Source organism: Homo sapiens, chromosome 12, assembly GCF_000001405.40.
Source record: "Homo sapiens chromosome 12, GRCh38.p14 Primary Assembly".
NCBI lineage: Eukaryota > Metazoa > Chordata > Mammalia > Primates > Hominidae > Homo > Homo sapiens.
Window position 1 is genome coordinate 55,655,638 of NC_000012.12, and position 9,706 is coordinate 55,665,343.

At 45.3% G+C, this 9,706-nt stretch overlaps 3 annotated features.

Moving 5' to 3' along the window:
- Nucleotides 687-766: an enhancer, noted in NCBI's record as "active region_6451". NCBI's record gives its function as "activates an Ori minimal core promoter by ATAC-STARR-seq in GM12878 lymphoblastoid cells {active_cell/tissue: GM12878}" and the evidence as "EXISTENCE:reporter gene assay evidence [ECO:0000049][PMID:35858748]".
- Nucleotides 856-6,259: an enhancer, noted in NCBI's record as "VISTA enhancer hs2573". NCBI's record gives its function as "enhancer in: heart[4/10]" and the evidence as "EXISTENCE:transgenic organism evidence [ECO:0001131][PMID:17130149]".
- Nucleotides 887-1,016: an enhancer, noted in NCBI's record as "active region_6452". NCBI's record gives its function as "activates an Ori minimal core promoter by ATAC-STARR-seq in GM12878 lymphoblastoid cells {active_cell/tissue: GM12878}" and the evidence as "EXISTENCE:reporter gene assay evidence [ECO:0000049][PMID:35858748]".

Genomic DNA, 9,706 nt, shown 5'->3' on the forward strand with positions numbered 1-9,706 from the left:
TTGCAGTGAGCCGAGATCGCGCCACTGCACTCCAGCCTGGGCGACAGAGCGAGACTCCGTCTCGGAAAAAAAAAAAAAAAAAAAAAAAAAAAACAGCTGAGCAACATAGGGAACCCCGCCCCCCACCCGCCGCCGTCTCTACAAAAAAATACAAAAATTAGCTGGGTCGAGTGGCGGCACCTATGGTCCCAGCTACTCGGGAGGCTGAGATGAGAGAATCGCTTGAACCCAGGAGGTGGACGTTGCAGTGAGCTGAGATCGCGCCACTGCACTCCAGCCCATGCGACAGAGCCAGACACTGCCTCAAAAAAAAAAAAAGGAACTTGATCAATAGTGAATATTTCCCAATTGTCAATGCCCTTTTTTTTTTTTTTTTTTTTTGAGACAAAATCTCACTCTGTCTCCAGGCTGGAGTGCAGTGGCGTGATCTCCACTCACTGCAGCCTCCGCCTCCCGGATTCAAGCAATTCTCCTATTCTCCTGCCTCAGCCTCCTGAGTAGCTGGGACTACAGGTGCGCGTCACCACGCCCAGCTAATTTTTGTTATTTTAGTAGGGACAGGGTTTCACCATGTTGGCCAGGATGGTCTCAGACTCCTGACCTCGTGATCCGCCCGCCTTGGCCTGCCAAAGTGCTGGGATTACAGGCGTGAGCCGCCGCGCCCGGCCGTTAGTGCACATTTTTTAAATGCATGCGTGGTAGAAAGGCTACAAGCAGAACACAGAGTGCTAAGTACTTACATTGTTTCCAGCTTTCTGATGTTCAAAATTTCTGAAATTTCTGGTTAAGGTGAGTCAAAAATAAAAATAAGAAGGAGTAGAGTCTGAAAAATGGACCAAAAATTGAAGTTTTGTTTGCTTTTCCCAAAAATCTGCTGTTCTGGAGCCGGTTCAAATGGGGTCATATCGCCCCCGTGTGGTAAATCTCTGAACAGCCATGTTCAACAAGGCGTCCCCCGTCCCTGAGCTGCCTGGGAGACGGTAAAGGCGGTCTTGAACATCTTCTACTGGTCCAAACCCTTCATTCTGCACAGGAGGACGATGAAGTCGAGAAGAACTCATTTAGTTTACCCAAGATCAATTAGTGAATTAATGACTGAGCTAAGACCAGTAATAATATATATCATGTATGGGACACGGCACTGTTACATAAATCACCACCTGATACAAAGTTTAAATAATCCCACTCTGCTGATGAGGAAACTGGGGTGAGAGAAATGAAGTTCCTTGTTCGAGGTCACACAGCCCTACAGCAACAGAGCCAGACCCAAACTTAGTCTATCTGCCCCCTAAGCCAGTGGAACTAGACACTATAAACCCAGCCTCCAAACACAATGCCCACCCCACCTGTCTCTGTAACGTGTCTGCATCTGGGTCACAGAAAGAAGATGCCTTGGAGACACCTGCTCTTATTCCATCATGTGGCAGAAGAGGAAACAAAGGCAGAGAAGAATATGGTTTATCCACAGTCACTAAGGGTCAGAGCTGGGGCTTGATCCCATGACTCCAGGATGCTGGTGTAATGCTGTCTCTAGGACTGTTCCACCAGCCCATCTACTGCAAGTCTATGTGTGGATGTGTGCCTTGTGTTGAATGTGTCAAGGTCCGTGTGAGTGTGTGTGTGTGTGTGTGCATGCGCAGGACAATCCTACCCACAGAAAGAGTAGCCGGGAAAGCCCAGAGTAATCCCCACCAGTAAAGGTAGCTTTTCCAATCAGCACCTGTTCCACAGCAGAGCCATGAAGTCAGAGACAGGGATCAAAGTTTAGGGGAAGGAAGGGGCCATTGGTGATGTAAGGTACCACAACTGGGCCCCTGAGAGACTGAGGGTGCTTCCATGGGTGCAAGATCCCAGAGACTTACTTCACTGAAGTCCAGAGTGCAAAGCTCAGAGGGTCAAATAGGCCACCATGGGATCAGACATTGTACGAATAGGAAGAGTTTAAGCCACAAGCCTGCCTTCCCCAAGACAGAAGCCTCTTCCATGCTCCTGCCTCAGCAGCAGAACTCAGTGTCTCTACAGGGATCCTGGGGGAGGAACAGGCACATTGAGATAGGGGACAAAGATGGTGCAAGAAGTGGCCCTGGCAGGAGAGTGTCAAGCATGGCCAGAGATAGGGGCAGAATTTCCCTGATGCTCCCATGGCAGGGGCTCCCTAAGTGCCAATGAGCTCAAGCCACAGTACCTAAGGGCAAGGTGTGAGGCAGCACAGGACAGAGGCCACAGGTCCTGTGCAAATGTATACCCGTGCACAAGACAGTCCACTCTCACTCCAGATGGGACATCCTCCAAATGGAGAAGGAAGGAATGAAGGAAGTCAAGGTGAGGGAAAATGAACTGAAGAATAACATGAACATAAGAGAAAGGAGACCATGACCACAGAGGTCTACAAAGAAAAAACAACAAGAAAGGGGATCAGTGGCTGTTGGCCAACCCACAAAGTTAGAAGGTGAAACTGGCCTCAAGTTGTAGCTGAAGACATTGCAATTAGACCCAAGAAATTAGAATTGCAGTGGTCTCTTCCCTAGAGATCATGAAAACATATGAGGGAACAGAGCTGCTAGGAGAGGGGGCCCGAAGGTGGGCAGCACTGGGTGGTGTATTCCCACGTAAGTCTAGGGAAGCCATTTACCCTGAACCCTGCAACTTCTTGACTCTCCTGGGCCAAATTCCGGGGTCAGGGAGCGGTTATTTGTTTGGTTTTGGTTTTTTTTCTTGCAGAAAATGTGTGAGCAAAGATCTTACCTGTGCTAAGAGCTCCTGAGAGAGTACTTGAGACAGGGGACTGGGCTCTGTAAACCCCTGAGATCCTTTTCACTCTGAAAGTCTAAGCAATAAACTGTGTACATCCGAATGCAACGTAATGATTAACATGTACTTTCTCCCCACAGATGCTGGGTAAGTTTTAATTAATTCCCTGGGATCAGTCAAGTCTCTCTGTTTCCTTGAGGCCTGCTCCCCAGCTCCACAGCACCCAGTGCCTCTGCCACAGTCATTACCTGCTCCAAATAGGACCATCTCCATGAAGCACAACTGTAATCACAGCCATAATAATTCCACAATTATTTTTGTCCCTCAACATTTAAAAAAAGAAAAGATTTGCAGCCTAGCAATGAATAGAGCACTTGTGCAATTTCATTGCATCATCTCATTTGGCACTCACATCAACCCCAGAGATAAACCTAGCAGGTATTCATTAATACTCTGGTTTAGTGATAGTAAATTAAGGAGCCAGGTGACTCCTTAGTCACCAGGCCAAAGTCACTTGGCCAACAAGAGCAGAACTCAGACTTGAAACCTAGAAGCCTAATCCCCAGCTCCCAGTCCAGGACACTCCCTAATATACCACCCAGTCCTGCCCACCTGAGAGCCCCCTCTCCTACCAGGTCTGTTCCCACATCTGTTACTTATCCTCTGAAAGCCCAGCTTTTTCCACCACTAAAAGCCTGCAGTGTCCTGCACAGCAATCCAAGAACAGCTGATCTCCTCTAGGAACCCCCTACCTCCTCATACCCTGACTCCTCAGCACCTGCCCAGTCTCCTGGAGTGGGAAGTACACCCTATGGGGAGGTCACTGGTCCTTGCCCACAGACCTCACTATGCCTCTGTCATACCACCCACAACTCTTCCCGCCACTCCCGTCTCACAGCTAAGGAGAGACTCGCTGCTTATATTTATTTTTTCAGAGTCCTGTTGCACAGCATAAATAGCTTACCAAGACATGTAAAACACCATGAGATGGCAGGTATTAAAACTAGGAACAAATAAATACAAAGAAAAAAGAGACTTTAAAAAAGAAAGATGGAAATAGGGATCTAAAATCGCACCAGGAATGAACCTTAAAAATGTGAAATACAAGACCTGTACCCTTCCTAAGGGTGAGCCACAAGTCTGACTCAAAACTGTTCAGCAGCCAACCCAAAAAGGAAAGTCTGGTCCGTTCTGAAGTTCACGGTGTCCATGAGATAAAACAGACAGATGACGCAGGGAAGCACAACTATTCTTGGAACTGAGACCAGACAAAAGTTACTCCCAAGGACACTCCTAGAGAGATGACGGTGGTTCACAGCCTTACCGTTGCCCTGACGGTGAGTTTCCCAGGATGGATTCTAAGAGCCGCCCTCGACACAGGGGAGGCCCTGGCACTGAGGGACCTCTGTGGTTGTGGGAGAGAGAGGATGCACCATGACCCTGCTCTTTCCCGATGAGTTTGTTGTAAGGCAGGACTGTTCAACCTTGGTACTAGTGACATTAAGGCCAGATAATTCTTTGTTGTGGGGGCTGTTCTGTGCATTGTAGGATGTTTAGCAGCATTCCTGGCCTCTGCCCACTAGATGCCAGTAGCACCCTTCCCTCCAATTGTGATACCACAATGTCCCCAGATATGGCCAAATGTCCCCTGAGGGACAAAATTGCCCCCAGTTGAGAACCAATGATCCAAGAGTAGAAATCATTGTTTCTATTTTCCTTTTAACATAGAAAGGCAAAGAAGGAACATCTAGTTTTGTTTCTATTTTGTTACAGGTTTATTGAGGTACAATTTATATACTATAAAATCCACTCATTTAACATATACAATTTAGTGGTTTTTACTGTAGACACAGGATTATGCAACCATCATCACTGATTTTAGAACACTTGATCAATCCAAAAAGTAACTCTGTACCCCTTAGGAATCACTCCTCATTCTTCCTTCCTCCCAACCCCCAGCAATCACTACCATATGGTCTCTGTATGGATTTGCTTATTCTGGACATTTTGTACAAATAGAATCATGCAATGTGTGATCTTTTGTGACTGACTTTTTCACTCAGCTTGATGTTTTCAAGGTTCATCAATGCTGTAGCATGTTTTAATACTTCAATCCATTTATTGACAAATAATATTCCATTGTATGGCTATATTATTTTATTTATCCATTCTTCATTATATAGACATTTGTGTTGTGTAAACTTTGGGACCATTATGCATAATTCTACTATGAATGCTCATGTACAAGTTTTTGTGCAGACACATGTTTTCAGCTTTCTTGCGTGTATACCTAGGAACTGAATTGTTGGGTCAGATGGTAACTCTAGGTTTAATACTTTGAGGAACTGCTAAACAGTTTTCCAAAATGGCTGCATCACTTTATATTCTCACCAGCAATGAATGAGGGTTTCAATTTCTCCAGATCTTCATCAACACTTGTTATTGTCTTTATTTCAGCCATCCTAGTGGGAATGAATTTGTATCTCCTTGTGGTTTTGATTTCCATTTCCCAACGGCTAACAATGTTGAGCATCTTTCATGTCCTTATTGGCCATTTGTATATCTTCTTCGGAGAGGTGTCCGTTCAAATCCTTCTTTCATTTTTTGATTGGGTTATTCAACTCTTTGTTGTTGAGTTATATGACTGCTTTATGTATTCTGGATACAAGGCTCTTACTAGATATAATTTGCAAATATGTTCTCTGATTCCATGGATTATCTTTTTACTTTGTTGACGGTATCCTTAGAAGCACAAAAGGTTTTTTCGTGGGTTTTGTTTTTTGGTTTTTTTTGAGACAGAGTCTCACTCTGTCCCCAGTCTGCAGTGCAGTGGCCCGATCTTGGCTCACTCCAACCTCTTGGCTGGGTATGGTGGCTCATGCCTATAATCCCAGCACTTTGGGAGGCGGAAGTGGGTGGATCACTTGAGGCCAGGAGTTCAAGACCAGCCTGGCCAACATGGCAAAACCCCATCTCTATAAAAATACAAAAACTAGCAGGGCGTGGTGGTGCACACCTGTAGTCCCGGCTACTTGGGGGGCTGAGGTGAGAGGATCGCTTGAATATAGGAGGTGGAGGTTGCAGTAAGCCAAGATTGCACCACTGCACTCCAGCCTGGGTGATGGAGTGAGGCTGTGTCAAAAAAAGAAAAGAAAAAGAAAGAAAGAAAGAAAGAAAGAAAGAAAGAAAGAAAGAAAGAAAGAAAGAAAGAAAGAAAGAAAGAAAGAAAGAAAGAAAAGAAGAAAGAAAGAAAGAAAGAAAGAAAGAAAGAAAGGAAATCAAAAATAGAAAAACAATAGAGAAAAATCAACAAAATGAAAAGTTAGTTCTTTGAAAACATTAGCAAAGTTGACAAACTCTTAACTAGACTGACAAAGAAAAAAAAGAGAAAGAGTCAAATTACTTAAATCAGGAATGAAAGAGGGGACATCACTACTGATCTTACAGAATAAAGAGGATTATAAGGAAATATTATCTGTCTAGTAAGTCCAACGTCTGAGCTTTCTCAGAGAAACAAGCCTATTGATTGCTTTCTTTTTTATTTTTTTATTTTTTTATTTTTTTTTTTTTTTGAGACAGAGTCCCACTCTGTCTCCCAGGCTGGAGTGCAGTGGCACGATCTTGGCTCACTGTAACCTCTGCCTCCTGGGTTCCAGTGATTCTCTTTCCTCAGCCTCCTGAGTAGCTGGGATTACAGGCACATGCCACCATACTCGGCTGATTTTTTTCTATTTTTAGTAGAGACTGGATTTCACCACGTTGGCCAGGCTGGTCTCAAACTCCTGACCTCAGGTGATCCGCCTGCCTCAGCCTCCCAAAGTGCTGGGATTACAGGTGTGAGCCACCGCGCCTGGCCAACATTTTATTTTTTAATCATACTGTATTATCTTTGACTAAATGCAAAGACCTTTCCAACATGTCATCTAGAGACCATTTTACCCACTGCTCTGTTTGACCATCAATCAGTCTCTTGTCCCTCTCTTTGACAATGGTGAGGTGGATACATTTTCCTTGGGGAAGAGAAATCTATGATTTGTTGCCTTTGCCAATAACAAAAATGTTGGAGAGCTGGGTGGCAAAGCTGTTGCCACTGGCATCTTTCACAGAAACCACAATATTTTAAGTAATACACTGTGGCAGCTTCAGAAATCAGATTCCTACTCCCTCAGGACTTTTTGTTGTTGCTGTTTGTTGTGGCTGCTGCTACTGCTATTGCTGCTCTCGTATGTGTATTTGTTTAGTGACTTTCCTGGACTAAGTCTGTAAATTGTGTATTCTTTGTCAGGTGTGTCTGCTTGGTTAGCTTAGCAGTCAGCTAATGCCGAAACAGAGATTTCCTTAAATGCCTTTGACCATTGAATCTCCCACCCTTTGTTGAGGAGTGTGTGTGTGCATGTGAGTGTGCGTGCGTGTGCATGTGTGTGTGTGATGCCTTCAATACTCCAATTACTCTGACCTAGGCTTCACTTGCTGCTTGCACAGGGCTTTAAGGTGAGCCAGAAGTGAGAGGTGCACAGCCTTGCACATGTGTGTTGCCTTCTAGACCCCCAGGAATAAGTAAGAGCTTTCCAAGCCCCCTATGAACATCCCCAGATTTTCTCTGTAAGATTTTGGCCAGCCTGATTTTGCCCCAGTGTGTATCACTATCTCAGGCAACTGCAATTCTTAAATTGCCACTGATTATTTTACCAATGCTCTGGGGAAAGGGCTTTCCTCAGTGACCAAATAAAGATAAGCCCTATGAATGAGGCTTTTCCAGGGATCTTCTAGACATGTCGAATAGTGACAATTCTCTGGCAACCAGGTCTTTGGGGATCTTGAAACCCACTCTACCACCTCCAATGGCTGCTAGACCTCTGGTTTTCAGTGACTCTGGTTCCAAGGCTGCTGGTTTCAAGGCCACCATAGAGCTGGGAAGAAGGGGTGGAAACAGGACAAGTTAAAACACCACAAACCTCACCGTTCTTACAAGAGCCAGCCACTTTTCTTGAAAAAACTCTTAAGGTTGTTGTAAGCCTTTGGTTAATTTCTAGAGTTCTGAAAAACTTGATATTGACAATTTTTGCCAATGTTCTTGCTGCTCTTACAGAAGAGCAGATTTTCAGAAGTGTTTTTCCACCATTCTAGAAGTACTTTCTCCTGGTATTATGTTTTAACCACACTTCCTCAAGAGTCCCCCAGGGACTCGGGAGAGAGTGAGTCCTGAAGAAACAACCCAACAATCAAATGTAGATTGGTGGAGGCATTATGGAAAACTGTGTGGAGGTTCCTAAAGAATTAAAAATAGAGCTATCTGCAGGGTGCAGTGGCTCATGCCTGTGATCCCTGACTCTTGGGAGGCTGAGGTGGTAGGATTGCTTTAAGGCCTGGAGTTCAAGACCAGCCTAGGCAACCCCATCTCTATTTCTTAATTTAAAAAAAAAAAAATACAACCATCTCCTCTGGGTCTTTGTAGTCAGAAAAAAAAAATTTTTTTCAGGATCTTTAACTTTGTCAGCAGCTACTGAGCTACAGAATACAAACCAACCGAAAACATTAAAGAAAGGCTGCTTGAAACAGATATGTACAGGTATACTACACAGAAGCAAAACCTGTATCATCCAATCCCAAAGCCACCCCTGTGGGGAAGGATGGCCTTAGCTATGGGCCAAAGGAGTATGGAAGTTACAACATAAGAGTCCCGTCCATCCAGGAAAGCAGTGAACAACTACAGCAGCATGGGCACCAAAAGTTTATCTGACATTAGTTTTTTGTTTGTTTGTTTGTTTGTTTTGAGACAGAGTCTCGCTCTGTCGCCCAGGCTGGAGTGCCGTAGTGTGATCTCGGCTCACTGCAAGCTCTGCCTCCCGGGTTCACACCATTCTCCAGCATCAGCCTCCTGAGTAACCTGGGACTACAAGTGCCCGCTACCACGCCCGGCTAATTTTTTGTATTTTTAGTAGAGACGGGGTTTCACCATGTTAGCCAGGATGGTCTCGATCTCCTGATCTTATGATCCGCCCGCCTCAGCCTCCCAAAGTGCTGGGATTACAGGCGTGAGCCACCGCACCCAGCCCTGAGATTAGTTTTAAAGGTTTAAAGGTTCAAATGAAAATAGGTACCCCTCTTCCTGTAGGCTTTCCAGCTCACTACCCAAAAGACTTGAGTACTTGTATTAAGGCAGCTGGAAGCCCACCCTGGACTTGAATGGCAACTTGTCCTTTCTCAGCCGGTAATGCAATCCAACAGAATATGCCACAGGGTAGATAGGAATTTCCACAGTGCTGCCCTCTGGTAAAAGGGAAACACAGCACTCAAAGCCAAAAGGCACAGAGGGCTCCCTGAGAACCCAGTACAATTAAGCGAGGCCTTCAACTATCGAGACAAACTTTGCAACTGGATCCCGGTGGGACAGTGCCCTGCGGCGAGGAGTAGTGTATATGCCAATGAGAGGGTCCAGCTTCCAGGAACTGTTACAATGGCGTCCGGAGTCATTTTCTCTCTCCCACTTGCATTCGAGAGTGAGAAAACACACACCGTGGCCTTGATTCTCGCTCACCACAATCCCCCTGTACAGAGGGGTTTGTTTCTAAGTTTGGATCCTCAACACGAGGCTGCGATGCTTCATGACGTGCTCTCTCCCACGGTCCAGCCATCTTTGGTGGTCTCCCCACAGTGCTTCCCCATCTTCTCACGCTCCTGTGGAGGGACCATGGGATGGGCCAGGAGGAAACTTGGGATCACTCTGACAGGAAACAGAAAAGCACAGCTGCCAGCTGCTCTGGCCTCAGTCTCCAGTTGTTAGTCTCAGGATCAAAAGAGAACTGGAAAGACCTCTTGGTCTTTGTAGTCAGGAAAAAAAACTTTTTAAGAAAAAAAATAGAACTACCATAAGACCTAGCAATCTGTCTTCTGGGTATATATCCAAAGGAAATGAAATCACTACCACATAAAGATATCTGCACTCCCACATTCA